General features: G+C 39.0%; 1 non-coding gene and 1 pseudogene across 1 annotated transcript; one reads left to right on the top strand and one right to left on the bottom strand.

Annotated features, from left to right (window-relative positions):
* Positions 1-6,706: 6,706 nt before the first annotated feature.
* MIR633 (microRNA 633) lies at positions 6,707-6,804 on the top strand. Its single transcript, NR_030363.1, has one exon. It is a non-coding gene; the product is annotated as a microRNA 633 (primary transcript).
* On the bottom strand, positions 13,151-13,680 carry TRMT112P3 (tRNA methyltransferase subunit 11-2 pseudogene 3; annotated as a pseudogene).

Here is a 16,691-nt window from a genome sequence, read left to right on the forward strand (position 1 = left end):
AGATAAGGAGAAGTGCCTCCTTATAATAGTTTTCCAAATAAAAAATAAAAAAGATAGGATTATAATATCACCATTTTGTAATCCCAGTGAATTAAAAGATATAAGTATTAAGCTTCAACAGCTGCTAATGTCATGGAAGATAAATAACCAGACATGAGGTGCTTTCTATTGCCTTGCCAGACACCAATTCCTTGGCAACGTCCCTAAAAGAGAAATATCAAACACCATGTAACTACTATAGTTTTGACAGTCACTTTGGAAAGAAATAGAACTTGAGTCTGCTCCAGTCTCTGGATCTAGCAGCCAAATTTCAGGAAATGCAGAGAACAGAGGAACATGCTAAATCTCACCACAAGTGCACAATCAGCAAAATTCAGACTGTGGGAAACTCTCCAGACAAAAGAGCCTGGTAAGTTGTAAGGAAAAGAAAGGGATAGAGGAGAATAAATAGCTTAAAAGAGAGTTTAAAAACATATCACTTTTTTTTTTTAATGGACAAGACTAAACTACAGTGTCTAGGAATGCACATTTGAGTAAAAACAATTATGACAGTGCAAGAAGGTGATTTCTATAAAAGTCAGGACAATGGTTACTTATGAGAGGAGAGTGGGGCTTGTGACTCAAACTGGACACATGGAAGGGGATTCTGGAGTAGGGGATAAAGTTCTATTTCTTGATCTTAGTGGGGTTTCAAGGATATTTGCTGTATAAAAACTCATTTTACTGTATATTTTATGTGATTTTATGTATCTTTATTTTATTTTATATCAGAAAGATGTTTTTGAGAAGACAAGGATCAAGCTTTGTATTTTTTTTATTTATTTTCAAAATTGACAACAAAACTCTTTTGATGTACAATTCTGAGTTTTCACAAACATATATAGTCATATAATCAAAACCACAATCAAGATATAAAACAGTTTCATCACTTCAAAACATTCCCTTTTGCCCCTTTTAGTCAACTCCTCCCTCCATTCCAAACCATGGCAACCACTAAACATACCATTTTCTGTTCCTATACTTTCAGTTTTCCAGAACATCATAAAAATGGAAACATAAGATATGTATGTAGCCTTTTGAGTCTGGTTTGTTTCACTTGGCATAATGCTTTGAGGTTCATCAAAGTTAGAAAACTTATCAAAGTTCCTTTTTACTGCTAAGTAGTATTCTGTTGTATGGATGCAGCTCAATGTGCTTATCCATTTAACAAAAGGACATTTGGGTTGTTTCCAGTTTTGGCCATTGTGAATGAACAAAGCTGCTATAAACATTTGTATACAATGTGAAAATAAGATTTCATTTCTCTTGAATAGATACCTAGAAGTGAAATTGCTGGTTTATAGGTTAAGTGCACGTTTAACTATATGAGAAATTGTCAAACTATATTCCAAAGTGACCATACTATTTTGCATTCTTACAGGCAATATATGAGTTCCCATTGCTCTATGTCTTCACCAGCACTTGGTATTGTCATTTTAAAGCCATTCTAATACATGTGTAGTGGTATGTTATCATAGTTTTAATTTGTACTTCCTTAATGACTTTCATGTGTTAAATATATGAAAGGATGCTCATTTGCCATCTGTATATCTTCTTTGGTAAAATGCCTACTCAAATGTTTGCCCACTCTTTTAAAGCAAACTATTGGTTTTCTTATTGTTGAGTTGTGAGAGTTCTTTATGATCCCTTTCTCTATTGAATTGCTTTTGTACCTTGGTCAAAAGTCAATTGGCCACATATGTGTGGGTCTATTCTGGACTTCTTATTGTGTTCCATTGATCTATGTTTCTATCCTTTCACCAGTACCATACTATGTTGAACACTGTGACTTTATATTAAATTTTAAAATCAAGTAGTATGAATATTCTAATTTTGTTATTATTTTTCAGAATTGTTTTGGCTATTCTAGTTCCATCGTCTTTCCATTCATTTCAGAAATAGGTTGTCAACATATACCAGAAAGAGAGAGAGAGAGATTTTTTAAATTAATTAAGGGAGCTAAGATTTTCCCTATTTCTAAATTGATAGCTTTACTTCTGCTTCTGGTTATGAGTAACTCTTCTTGTTGAGAACAGCAATAAAACTTGGTTAAAACACAAAACCATAGCTCTTTCAGAGAGTAAGCAAGGTAGTCAGAACTTCAGGATCATAAAATCCTTAAGAAAAGGGAATAATAGCAGAGGAGTGAGCCTGACTTTCTGATTTGCAAATACATCTAAGCATTTGGTGACTCCTAAGTTGCACATGTGTAGGAAGAGACACCAAGAAATTTAAAAAGCAGCTACTACAAGGCTAAAAAGCTAAGCAGAGATGTCTGCAGTTTCATGGTCCTAAGGAGACATAAATTGGAGTTGAGCATCCATCAAGAAGAAAGCACTCTTGTGAACAAACAAGGTTTTAAATGGTGACTCCTCAAAGGACTATGTTATAAAAATAAGAGCAAGCTAGTCTTACGTGGATGAAGATGATGTGCCCAAAGTCTATCTCACTGCCAGAAAAAAGCAAACTCTTCCATGCAGGATGATACCATCATCCAGAGTCTTATAATTGTTCGTAGGCAAGATCTGGCATTCAGTTAAAAAAAAACGGTAATGCCAAAAAACTGGATCAAATGACTGAAAATCAAGAGACAAAGGAGACCATGAAAATATACTTGTAGGTGACAAACATCTTGAGTTTTTAGCCAGATTTTTAAAAAGTAACTGTGGCTAGTATGTTTAAGAAATTACGTGAAACGAAAAATTTCGCCAGATGGGCTGGGTGTGGTGGTTCATGCCTGTAATCCCAGTACTTTGAGAGGCTAAGGTGGGAGGATTGTTTGAGGTTAGGAGTTTTTGTTTGTTTGTTTGTTTGTTTTGAGACGCAGTCTCGCGCTGTCACCCAGGCTGGAGTGCAGTGGTGCAGTCTCGGCTCACTGCAACCTCCACCTCCCAGGTTCATCCCATTCTCCTGCCTCAGCCTCCCAAGTAGCTGGGACTACAGGCGCCCACCATGACGCCTGGCTAATTTTTTTTTGTATTTTTAGTAGAGATGGGGTTTCACCATGTTAGCCAGGATGGTCTCGATCTCCTGACCTTGTGATCCACCCGCCTCGGCCTCCCAAAGTGCTGGGATTACAGGTGTGAGCCACCGCGCCCGGCCAAGGTTAGGAGTTTTAGAACAACCTGGGCAACATAGTGAGATCCCATCTCTATAATTTTTTTTTTCGAGATGGAGTTTCACTCTTGTTGCCCAGGCTGGAGTGCAAAGGTGTGATCTTGGCTCACTACAACCTCTGCCTCCTGGGTTCAAGAGATTCTCCTGCCTCAGCCTCCCGAGTATCTAGGATTACATGCATGTGCGACCACACCTGGCTAATTTTGTATTTTTAGTAGAGATGGGGTTTCTCCATGTTGGTCAGGCTGGTCTCAATCTCCTGACCTCAGATGATCCACCCCCCTCAGCCTCCCAAAGTGCTGGGATTACAGGTGTGAGCCACCACACCCAGCCAAAAATTATTTTTAAAAAAGATAATTTGAATGCATAAAAAATAATTAATTATAAAGCCCAGATGGAAAAACATAATAACTGAAATGAAGAATTCAAAAGATTAGTTTAACAGTATTCGACTCGGCAGAAGAGATTAATGAACTGGAAGACAGGTCAAGGGAAAATATCCAGATTGAAGCACAGAGGAAAAAGTATGGCATATAGAGAAAAGAGTGTAAGAAACATATGGGATATGAAGAAAGATCTTATATGATTGTCAATAAGGTCCCAAAGGAGTAGAAATAAGGAATGTGGCAGGAGTCATATTTGAAAAGACAGTAGCCAAGAATTTCCCCAAACTAACAAGGCATTAACACACAAATTCAAGAAGCTCTATGAATTCAAAGCAAGATGAATATAAAGAAAACCACACCTAGTCAAACCGCAAAACCTAAACACAAATATAAAAAATGTTAAAATTAGTGAGATTTTAAGAAGGCATAATTTATCTTCAAATAGCAACGAAAGTTAGCAAAGACTGACAGCTAACTTGTCCAACAGAAACGATGGACACCAGGAGATGATGCAATGGCATCTTCAAAGAGTAGGAAAAAAATTACTGCAAACTGAGAATTCTATACCCAGCAAAATAATGGTGAAATGGAGAAGAGGTGGGGGGAGTTCTATACCTTTAAAAATAAAGATGAAATAGAGACATTTTCATAAAAATAAAAACCTAGAGTTTTCATTGTCAGCACACATGTACTAAAAGAAATCATAAAGGGAATTCTTCAGATAGAAGTAAAAGAAATCCCAGCTAGAAGCCCAGAAATGCAAGAAGGAATAAAAAGCACCAGGAAACGGATGTCTAAAGTAATATTGATTGTTTAAAACAACAATAATAATGATGTCTTGTGTTTAAAATGCTCTTCCTATACTCTTTTATACAGCTGAATTAAACACTCATCATCACTCAAACACAGCATGTACATTCTTCTCTCTGTATTTTTAGCCTCTCTCTTGCCCATCATTTGAGGCCAAGTTATATCATAATACCTTCAGGAAGTATTCACTGACCACTCCTTCGTTTATATCTTCTCTCCCACCTCTCTAACTCAGCACCATGTTGTCTGGGTCACTTATTTAGAACTTTTAAGTTTCTGTTCTCTTTTTGTTTTTATTTCATGTTGTGTGTCTTGGTTTCTCAAATAGATTGTATATTTAATGTCCTTTCTATGTCTGCTATAGGCTGTCTCTATAGTATATGCTCAATAAATGTTTATGGGATAATTAAATTTGTTGAAGAATAAATTGGTAATGAGTGACTGACCTTGTTGTTTTCTAAGACAGAATCTTCCATCAATTTGTTAATTGTTATTCTGAGATTTGATAAAGGAAACTAATATAAATATAAACAAGAAAAGCTTTAATAAGGTCTTGGATGAAAAATCCATGAAGGACAGATTGGATGTTCATATTTCATCTTTAACCTTTTGAAATTGATTTGATGCCTCTTTAATAAAATCTTTCTTGGTATCCTTGTCAAATGTATAAGGCTGGTGAGAGTATATCACAGGTATGTCATTTATTTCATTCTAATATGAGTCATTGTACTATTCTGGATGTTAAAGAAATAAAAGACACAGCCCTTGAGCTTTCCAGAGAAAAAAATCTAATTGGAGGCTAAAACACACACCCATAAACCAACTTGAGGTAAAATCCAAAGAAACATTTTAGTAACGTCAAGAAATATGGTGTAGTGTAGACTAAAGCTGCAATAGATAAGGAAAAGAAAAAGAAAAAATGATTACACTTGGGATGTGTTTATTATAAGGAAGGCATCTGAAAAAAGGTAAATTTTGGCTTTAAAGATTAGATGGAAATATACAGAAAAGAAGGGGCATAGATTTTTCTAAGCAGTGAGAATTACATGCAATACACGGAGGCAAAATAGTAAGTTATTATACATTCAGGCATCTATAAATAGACAGGCTTGAGGAATCAAGGGAAAGTATGAAGCTAGAGAGAGGTGGAGGAGCAGTTGATAGAAGACATCAAATATGTTTATTTTTGAACTAGTGTGGAATTCTCTTTCTCTTTTCAGTAGAAATAACCTTCACTGTCAACAGCCCAGTCAGACCCCTTAGCTGATATAATGACGATCGCAACTTCCTAGGCTATTATTTGCAATAATTTCTGCCATATGAGTGTAATGGGAAAAATACATTGCAAAGTGAATGACTTTTGAAATGTATTGCATGCTGACATTTGGGAAATTAGATCCTGAACACAATGCATCCTGATTATTGAGGTGCCTTGCCACCATGAAAAGATAAATACAGTCCAACCATTCAAAAAATCTGCATGTTAAATTAATTTAAAGTTCTGTCCTTCGGCAAGGTTCTTCTCAAAACTTTTGGTCACTATTCAGGCAAATAACCATGAGCAGACACTATCCCTGGCCTAGATAGCCTACGTGGGTCTGAGGAGTCCAGAAGTGCCCTCGTTCAAACATAGCTCCATCTTATGAGGAATCCTGCTGTGCTCATTCTCCTATGTACTTGACTGCTCCAGTGCTAGAGGTGCCTGTGCTCAGCTGGCATCCTTTCCATTTCCTGGGAGAAGCACAGCCACGCTCTCTTATGAAGAACAAACAACTCTTCACATCTCCATTCCCACACAGCAAATTCCTCCAGCACCACCAACCCATCTCATCATGAATGTGCATTTGCTTTCCTCTGTAAAGTTTCTGTATTGACGGGCTGCTGGGCTGAGCAACAGTAATTTCAGCAGTCCTGGCTCCACAAGCACAGGTCAGGAATGGGTTTGAAGAAAGCTCTTCTGAAGATATCACAAATTTTGCTGTTTTAAGCCAAGGCCTGCCTTGTTTACTGAACATGTCCAATTTGTGTGCTGAATAGAGCAATATAACGAGAGGAAGGGAAGATGGACAGGGAAATAATGGGACCTCACGTGCAGATTACAAACAGAACCTAGAAATTAACTGAGAATGCTAAAGAGGAAGAGGAATATGAAAGCAATAGTGAAGGGTCAATAATTTCCACATAAATCAGACCAGATGATTATTTTGATCATTAAATTGATTTAACCACAGCTTTATATACAATCAGAGTACATGGCTCTATATATAACAACAGCTCTTGGTTGTAGTCAGAGAGGACTGGGTTTGAGTCCTGGCTTATTGCTTACCTGATTAATGGTTTTGGTTATGCTACTCAACCTCTCTTAGCCTCTGTTTCTTTATTGCGGTAGATACTATTAACCTAAAATGAGAAGGCTAATAGTATCTACCACAATAAAATTGTTGTGAGGATAAAAAAAAATATTAATTAGGATGCAGTATGAAAAAAATAAAAGTTAGCTATCTTTATTTTTGAAATTTATGTAAGTCTAATTTCTCCAAAGTAAATTGGCTTATATTCACCAGGAGGAATGTCTAATTAAAAGAATCTTATTCTGAGTCTTTTGTGGCAGCAGATTATCACTATCTGATCTTTCTTTTACTTCTGTATTTTCATTGAGTTGGCTTACATAAAGCTGCACTTATAAATTTAAATATGCCTCCAATACCACTCGGCAAGTCTTCTTATAGAGAGCTAGATACATATTTAATAAACAGTTAATATAGTTTGCAACTTCCCCAAAGTAAATTAGGTGAAAAATCCCAAATGCTTGAATTTGGGGAAAAATTTACACATATAAATATGAATTTATTTATTTATTTATTTATTTTTAATTTTTTTTTTTTGAGATGGAGTCTTGCTCTGTTGCCCAGGCTGGAGTACAGTGGCGCAATCTCGGCTCACTGCAACCTCCACCTCCCCGGTTCAAGCAATTCTCCTGCTTCAGCCTCCCAAGTAGCTGGGACTACAAGCACATGCCACCATGCCCAGATGATTTTTGTATTTTTAGTAGAGACGGGGTTTCACCATGTTGACCAGGCTGGTCTTGAACTCCTAACCTCATGATCCACCTGTCTTGGCCTCCCAAAGTGCTGGGATTACAGGTGTGAGCCACTGTGCCCGGCCGAATATATTTATTATTGTTAGCCCTTGTTACAATGCTGCCATTTTATAAATCAGGAAACTGCGGCAGAGAGAGGTTAAATAGCTTGATCAAAGTTACATTGATTGCTGGGCACATCCTCTCCATCCTTTTCCAGGTGCCTTATACCTAAGTATTATCCAAAACTACCTCTTCATTTCAGCCTGCAAACCTCTTCCTATATTCCTTTTCTCAGTTAATGGCACCACCATCCACCCAGCGATCCAAGCTAGAAATCTGCGAGCCATCCTAGACTTCTCCAGCTTCCTCATTCCTCATCACACTAAGTCCTACAGTTTTATCTATCAAATATTTATTGAATCTGACCTCCTCTTCTCCATTCTTATCACCACTGCTTTTCATTCAAGCTTCTATCATTTCTCACCCAAACTACTACAACTGTCTCCTCACTCATCTCTCTGATACTAGCCCTGCTGCCTTCACATCAGTCTTCTAAACAGCTTCCAGGATGATATGTCTAAAACACAAACTAATCATGTCAATCCCCAGTTTAAAAACCTTCCATGGTTCCCAATAGAGACTGTTTTTTGTTTGTTTGTTTCTTTGTTTTTGTTTGTTTTGTTTTGTTTTTGAGACAGAGTCTTGCTCTGTCGCCCAGGCTGGAGTGTAGTGGCGTGATCTCGGCTCACTGCAACCTCCGCCTCCTGGGTTCAAGCAATTCTCCCGCCTCAGCCTCCCGAGTAGCTGAGATTATAGGCGTGTGCCACCACACGCAGCTAATTTTTGTATTTTTAGTAGAGACGGGGTTTCACCATATTAGCCAGACTGGTCTCGAACTCATGACCTCAAATGATCCAAACGCCTCGGCCTCCCAAAGTGCTGGGATTATAGGCATGAGCCACCACGCCTGGCCGACTGCTTTTAAAATAAAGCCCAGTCTTCCTAGTATGGCCCTTGTGATCCCAAAGAACACCTCTCTCTTAGTCCTAACAAAGTTTAATTAAAATGAAGTCTTTGTGTGATTCCCCCCACTTTTAGACTTTGGGCTCTTGAAAGGCAGAGACAAAGTCTTTTCATCTTTGTAATCTCAGTATCTACCAATGCCATTTAAAAATTATTGAACCCAAATGAAATGATGACATTATATTTGAACTTAGTAGATCAGCTTACACTTTTAAAAACAGTTTTCAGTCAGGTGCGGTGGCTCATGTTTGTAATCCCAGGACTTTGGGAGGCTGAGGCAGGAGGATTGCTTGAAGCTAAGAGTTCAGGACAAGCCTGGGCAACATAGCAAGACTGACTCTAAAACAAAAATTAGCCAGGCATGATGGTGCATGCCTGTAGTCCCAGCTACTTGGAGGCTGAGGTGGGAGGATTGCTTAAGCCCAGGAGTTTGAGGCTGCAATGAACTATGATTGCACCCTACTGCACTCCAGCCTGGTGACAGAGTGAAATCCTGTCTCTAAAATAAATATATGCAAATGGTTTTTGTTTTCTGTTTTGTTTTTTTGAGACAGAGTCTGGCTCTGTCGCCCAGGCTGGAGAGCAGAGGTGCAACCTCGGCTCACTGCAACCTCTGCCTCCTCCTGCCTCAGCCTCCCAAGTAGCTGGGACTACAGGCATGCACCACCATGTCCAACTATTTTGTATATTTTAGTAGAGATGGATTTTCACCATGTTGGCCAGGCTGGTCTCGAACTCGTGACCTCAAGTGATCTGCCCATCTCAGCCTCCCAAAATGCTGGAATTACAGGCGTGAGCCACTGTGCCCGGCTGCAACTGGTGTTTAATACTTTTAAAAATTGAGATATAATTAACATACCATAAAATCCACCTTTTTAGTATATTCAGTGGCTTTTGGTATATTCAGTTATACAACCATCACCACTATCTAATTCCAAAATGTTTTGTCACCCAAAAAAGAAATCCCTTACCCATTAACCATCACTCTGCAGTCTCCCCTATTTCCTTGCCAGGATTTTCTGGATGGGTCAAGTCTAATCACATGAGTCCTTAAAAGTCCCAGCTGTGACATCAGAAGAAGAGTTAGAGAGATGGCGGTGTGAAAGGATTGGATGCCTGGTTGTTAGTTTTGAAATATGGGAGACTGTATCCAAGGACCAGAGAGAGGCCTCTGGGAGCTAAGAGAGAAGCCCTCAAAACTTTCACCTCCACCAAGCTGAAAGCTCTCAAGAAAACTGAGGCCTCAATCCTACAACTGCATGGAACTGAATCGTGCCAACATCTGAATGGGCAAGGAAGCCTCCAGCAAGGATCACAGTCCTACTGACACCTTGATTTTTAGCCCAGTGAGACTCATACTAGATTCTGACCTACAGAATTATAAGACAATACATTTGTGTAGTTTTAAGCCACTAAGTTAGTGTTAATTTTTTATAGTAGCAGTAGAAAACTAATACAACACAGACTTCTATAATTTTCTTTTTTACAAAATACTGTATCTTGAAAATTGTTTTATATAACATGTCTTCTTCTTCTCCTTCTCCTTCTTCTTCCAGAGTCTTGCTCTGTTGCCCAGGCTAGAGTGCACTGGTGCAATCTCGGCTCACTATAATCTCTGCCTCCCAGGTTCAAGCTATTCTCGTGCCTCAGCCTACCATGTAGCTGAGATTACAGGTGTGCGCCACAATGCCGGGCTATATTTTTTTTGTTTTTTGTATTTTTAGTAGAGACGGAGTTTCACCAGGTTGGCCAGGCTGGTCTCGAACTCCTGACCTCAAGTGATCTGCCCACCTTGGCCTGCCAAAGTACTGGGATTACAGGCGTGAGCCACTGCACCGAGCCCCCTTATTCTTTTTGATGGCTGCATCATACTTTATTTAGATGGCAATTTAAAATACTATGTTTTATAGTAACAATTACTACATAATTCATCTTTGGCTTAGTGGAGGGTAGCTTGATGGCATATTCCCAGATTACCCCTGGTTCACTTTCTTCTGCTGGTATGGAATATTTGCATCTGTGGTTACTCCATGGTCTGAAGTGGTGGAATCCTCTTTGGGATCTCCCCTCTTTGTGGCTTGCTATGGTCTGAATATTTGTGTTCCCCCAAAATTCCTATGTTGAAATCCTAACCCCCAAGGTGAGAGTATCAGGAGGTGGGGACTTTGGAAGGTGATTAGGTCATGAGGGCAGAGCCCTTGTGAATGGAATTCTTGCCCTTACAAAAGACTCTAGAGAGGACCCTTACTTCTTCTACCATGTGAAGACAGAGCAAGAAGTTTCCATCCTTGAACCAGACAACAAGCCCTCACCAGACGTAAAATCTGCTGGCACCTTGATTTTGGACTTCCCAGCCTCTAGATTAATGAGAAATACATTTCTGCTATTTATAATTTACCCAGTTTATAGTATTTTGTTATAGCAGCCTGAATGAACTAAGATAGCACTTGTTGACAATAATGATAAACATCATATTGGTGCAGTGACACCAACACCAGACCACATAAACCCTAGGTTTTATTGGTAGAAATTGCAGTAAATGAACAGATGCATGAAATGATATTTATGAAGATTAGCAGATGAGGAATTTATTGCAGTCTTTGTTCCCTAGCAAACAGTATTACCAGTTTCTGCATTACAGTAAGTGGTGGCAAAAACTTTAGTTACATAGGATTAGTAGCCAAAGAAACACCTGCCACAGATTAGAGAAAGGCAGGTCAGGGGCAGGCAAAGTTTCAAAAGAAATGCACTAAGCCTTCCCTCCTAGAAATAACAGAAAGCGGGTAATGAGTAGGGAAAAGCAGATCTGGTAGGACACGGCAGCTGAGGGCTCATCCTGGCTGAGCAACATTTTTCATCAAGATGATCAGACTCAAAAACAAAACAAAAACAACTATTGAGCTAACAAGTTCAGCAAGGTTGGAAGATACAAAATTAGTGTACAAAAGCAATTGTATTTCTATGCACTACTGATGAAAAATCTGAAAACAAAATTAAGAAAACAGTCACCTAGAATAAAAAATAGAAAACATACAAATGGTCAATAAGCACATGAAAATACATTCTCTTATTTACCAGAGATTGAAAGAAAATATGTTCAACATCATTTGGGAAATGCAAATCAAAACCACAAAGAAATACTACTTTATACCCGATAGGAGAGCTATAATCAAAAGGACAGAGAATATCAAGTGTTGGCGAGGATGTGGAGAAATTGGAAGTGTCATACATTGCTGATGGGAATGCAAACTTGTGCAGCTGCTTTGGAAAACAACTTGGCAGTGCCTCAAAAAGTTAAATACAGTTACCATATGTCCCAGCAATTCTAAGTATATACCCAAGAGAATTGAAAATGTATGTCCACACAAAAACTTGGATGCAAATGTTCATAGTAGCATTATTTGAAATAGCCCAAAAGTGGAAACAACTCAAATGTCGGTCAACTGATAAATGAATAAATAAAATGTGATATAGATATACAATGGAATATTATATAGCCACAAAAAGGAATGGAGTACTGACACATGTTACAATGCAGAGGAAACTCAAGAACACTATACTCAGTGAAAGAAGCCACACACAAAGAACCACATATTGAATCATTTTATTGATATTAAATGTCCAGCATAGGCAAAGCTATAGAGCTAGAATGTACATTAGTAGTTGCCTAGGGGTAGGAGGCGGAAATGGGAAGTGACCATTAATGGGTAAAACATGTCTTTTTGGGGTGATGAAAATGCTCTAAAATCTATTGTGACAGCAGTTACACAGCTCTGTGAATATACTAAAAATCACTGAATTATATACTTTAAATGATTGTTCTTATGGTATGTGAATCACAATTCAATAAAATATTGTATGAAAAGACAAGACCAAACAAGACAAATTAAATGCAAAACTGGTCAGTTATACCTAAAAAACCAGGGAGTAGGTGGTCGGGGTGGGGGAAATAAAACTATGCCAGCCTTTCTTTTCTGTCTTGAGTAGGGCTAAAATGGGGCTCCGATCAGGTTGGCAGGAATTATCCCTTCAAATAAGAGATAGTAGGAGTCAAGGAGGCAGAGAAAGAATTTTACATTTTCAGGTTCACTCCAAAACTCTGGCTTGGGTAAGCTTTTCCAGTTTGAGCTGCTAAGCTGCTCTTGGAAAGAGCTGTCTAGTTCTGCCTATTCTGATCAAGGTCTTGAAAGCATAAGTGAAAAGTGCTGGCACAAGTTTATCCCAGTCCAGGGCCTGACTTCAATGCCAAATTTAGCCTTTGGCAACTTCTTTCCATTGAGAGTCCCTGAGGACTTGTTTGACCTCCTTTTGGAAAGCTGCAAGGGAATTCACTCCTGGACTGTTGCCCAGCAAGTAGGGAGTGGCTCAGCAGGCTGCCTAATCCTCTGTTAAGTGAAAGATAAGGTGCACCCGGGCACAGTCCATTGGAAGGCCAATTCCCTATATGTGGGATCTGGACTAGGAATTTTCCAGGTATATAAAGATAACTCCCAACATTAAATATCGTAATCAACTTGAGAGGAAATCTTTTGAAAATGTAGTGTACATATTCCTGCCTTTTTGTACTTAGGCTGTTTTTCAACTGGTAATTAAAAGATTACGTGGCCACTATGGAAAAATCGGAAAGAGTAGTACCATTCTCCTTCTCTAGAGTTAACCATTGCTAACAGTTTAAGGTGTGTTCTTTTTTTGTTTTTTGTTTTGAACCTTTAATGAGAAAAATATATATATACTATTGAGCTCAAGAACACTGTTTGGTGTGTCATTGGGTCAAGGGTTAGGGATACAAGTGGCAGAATTCGGAAATGGTATACATCAACAAAAATACACACGGTCATAACAAGAAAAACTGGTGCCTGGCACAATCAACTCTCAGTTTCCTCTTCACTCAGCAGCATGTTGGGGATCCTGTGGCTGATTGAGAACATACATCCAGACTCTGGGCACTGCAAGGTGCCCCCCATCACTTCCACCTCCAGCAGCAGGAGGTGCATGGTCCTCAGAAACTCTTCGTTCTCCTCATATCCCTCAACCGGCCCTTTAGCACCTGGGTCAGGTGCAAGTTATCAGCCACCTCCAGGAACACCGCCCACTCCACCTTGGGTATCATAGGTGCCACGAAGTGGGGGTTGAACTCCACAGGGCAGATGCAGACCTCGGTGGCCTGGAGGCACAGGGGGAAGCCACGGGTCCCACCCCCAACACATGCAAGCTCAGTAGATTCTTAATGTATGTTCTTTCAGACCATTTTCTATGTGTCTGTAAGCACAGATACACATGTATGTGCACACACATGCTACCCCATAGCAGTTTTTTAAACTTAAAAAAAACATAAATGATATCATACTCTATTGGTCCACTTGTTTTTGCATTTAACTATATCTTCAAGATCTTTCCATGTCAGAACATATAAATCTACCTTATTCTGTTTATTTATTTATTTATTTATTTATTTAGAGACAGGATCTTGCTCTGTTGCCCAGGTTAGAGCTGGAATGCTGTGGCGCAATCACAGCTCACTGCAGCCTCAACCTCCTGGGCTCAAGTGATCCTCCCACCTCAGCCTCCTGAGTAGTTAGGACTACAGGTGTGCACACCAGATCCAGCTAATTTTTAAAAATTTCTTATAGAGATGGGCTCTCATTGTGTTGTCCAGGGTGGTCTCAAACTCCTGGGATCAAGCAATCCTCCTGCCTCAGCCTCCCAAAGTGTTAAAATTACAGGTATGATCCACTGTGCCTCATCTACTTTATTCTTTTTTTTTTTTTTTTTGAGACAGAGTCTCGCTCTATCACCCAGGCTGAAGTGCAGTGGCATGATGATCTTGGCTCACTGCAACCTCCACCTCCTGGGTTCAAGCGATTCTCCTGCCTCAGCCTCCCGAGTAGCTGCGATTATAGGCATGTGCCACCAAGCCCGGCTAATTTTTGTATTTGTAGTAGAGACGGGGTTTCACCATACTGGCCAGGCTGCTTTTGAACTCCTGACCTCGTGATCCACCCGCCTCGGCCTCCCAAAGTGCTGGGATTACAGACGTGAGCCACCGCGCCCAGCCATTCTTTTTAAGGCCTACATAACATTCCATGGTATAAACATTCTACAATTTATCAAACCATTTCCTATTGAAGCATATTCCTATATATCTAACTTTTCTTGATGATCAAGAATGTTGAAATAAGGACTCTTATACATATATAATATATTCGTGTATATGTTAGAGTATTTTGGGGGATAGGTTCCAAGAAGTAAAATTATTTAAATTTTTGATACATCTGGAGTTTATTTTTCAAACTTTATATTTTGAAATAATTTCAAACTTACAGAAAAGTTGCAAGAATGGCACAATGAACTCCCATAAAGTCTTCACTTGATCCCCCAATTGTTATTTCATCACATTTGCTTCATCTCTTCTCTCTCCTCCACCCTACCTGTACACTATATACGTATTAGATATTTTTTTGGATGCATTTGAGAGCAATTGAGGACATGAAGCCCTTAACTCATATTTCCTAAATACAAGGGCATTATCTTACCTAAACTCAGCACAAGCATCAAAACCAGGAAGTAGACATACAAAACACACTGATTTCTCCAACCCAGCATCATAAGGTTCATTTTAGGCTTCACCCTTCTCCAACACAGAGAAACCCATTCGCACCATCCTCAATATATTTCCTAATTTTCTCAATACCCTTGTAAATAACAAATGTCCCTGCCATGCTGTCTGCCTCCTGTGTGCCTCCAGCTATGCATTCCCAGCCACATTGGCCTCACCCTGCTCGCTGCTTCAGAACTTGGTCCATACCAGTCACCGGGAAGAAGGAGTTTATTTTTGAATGGTGTGACGTAAAAGATACATATATATACATATATATATATATATTTTTTTTTTTTTTTTTTTTTTTTTTTGAGACAGGGTCTTGTTCTGTCACCCAGGCTGGAGTGATCTCAGCTCACTGCAACCTCTGCCTCCTGGACTCAAGTGATCCTCCTACCTCAGCCTCCTGGGTAGCTGGGACTAAAGGTGTGTGCCCCCATGACCGGCTAATTTTTGTATCTTTTTTGTAGAGATGGAGTTTTGTCATGTTGCCAGATATATCTTATTTTCTTAAATGCATAATCAGTTGTCCCGACACCCATTCTCAATCGTTTGAAATGTTTCCACACGTGCTTGTGCCAGTAGCTGATGATCTATTCTCTTTCATTTATCTATTTTTCTGTTTGTGAGCCAATACCATACTCGAATTACTGTTGTTGTATAATATGGTTTGTTTATTTACTTATTTATTTTTAGCCAGTGGCAGTCGCCTATATAAAATGTTTTGATACCTGGTAGAATGAGGTTCCTCATTGTACTTAAAAAAACGTCCCTGCCGGGCGCAGTGGCTCATGCCTGTAATCCCAGCATTTTGGGAGGCGGAGGCCAGTGGATTGCTTGAGCTCAGGAGTTTGAGACCAGCCTGACCAACATGGTGAACCCCACTTCTACTAAAAATACAAAAATTAGCTGGGCATGTTGGCATGCACCTGTAATCCCAGCTACTCGGGAGGCTGAGGCAGGAGAATCACTTGAACTCCGGAGGCGGAGGTTGCAGTGAGCCAAGATGGCACCACTGTACTCCAGCCTGGGTGACAGAGCAAGACTTTGTCTCAAAAAAAAAAAAAGTCCCACCTCTTCTTAAGTATGTATTCTTCCAGATGAATTTTAAAATTAACATGTCAATTTCATTAAAAATCCTATTGTAATTTTGATTGGAATTACACTGAGTTTATCAAATATTTGGGTAAAAATGGCATCTTTCCAATATTGAGTCTTCCTATCAGGGATCATGGTACACCTTTTCATATACTCAGGTTTTTAAAATGTCTTCCAGTGAATATTTGGCTTTGTGTTGGCATCACACATACATTTTGTTCCTAGGTTTCAGACATTTTTTTGGTGTCTATTATTAACGGGATCTTTTTGTCCCATCTTCTTTCCATATCTTTCCATATATTTCTATATATTTCTTTCTATATATTTTGTACATAGTTGAGATTATGCTGCACACATCTTGTCTTTTAAATTTATTCCATAAAAACTTTCTGACTAATATAGTTCTTATGGTTGCATAATCGTCCATCAAATATTTACATAAGATAATTTACTGAACTACTTTTAAACATTGGTTAACTAGATTGTTTCCAATTTTAAAGATGCTAAATACTACTGTTATAAACATCTTTTTATATAA

This window comes from Homo sapiens, chromosome 17 (genome assembly GCF_000001405.40).
Source record: "Homo sapiens chromosome 17, GRCh38.p14 Primary Assembly".
Lineage (NCBI taxonomy): Eukaryota > Metazoa > Chordata > Mammalia > Primates > Hominidae > Homo > Homo sapiens.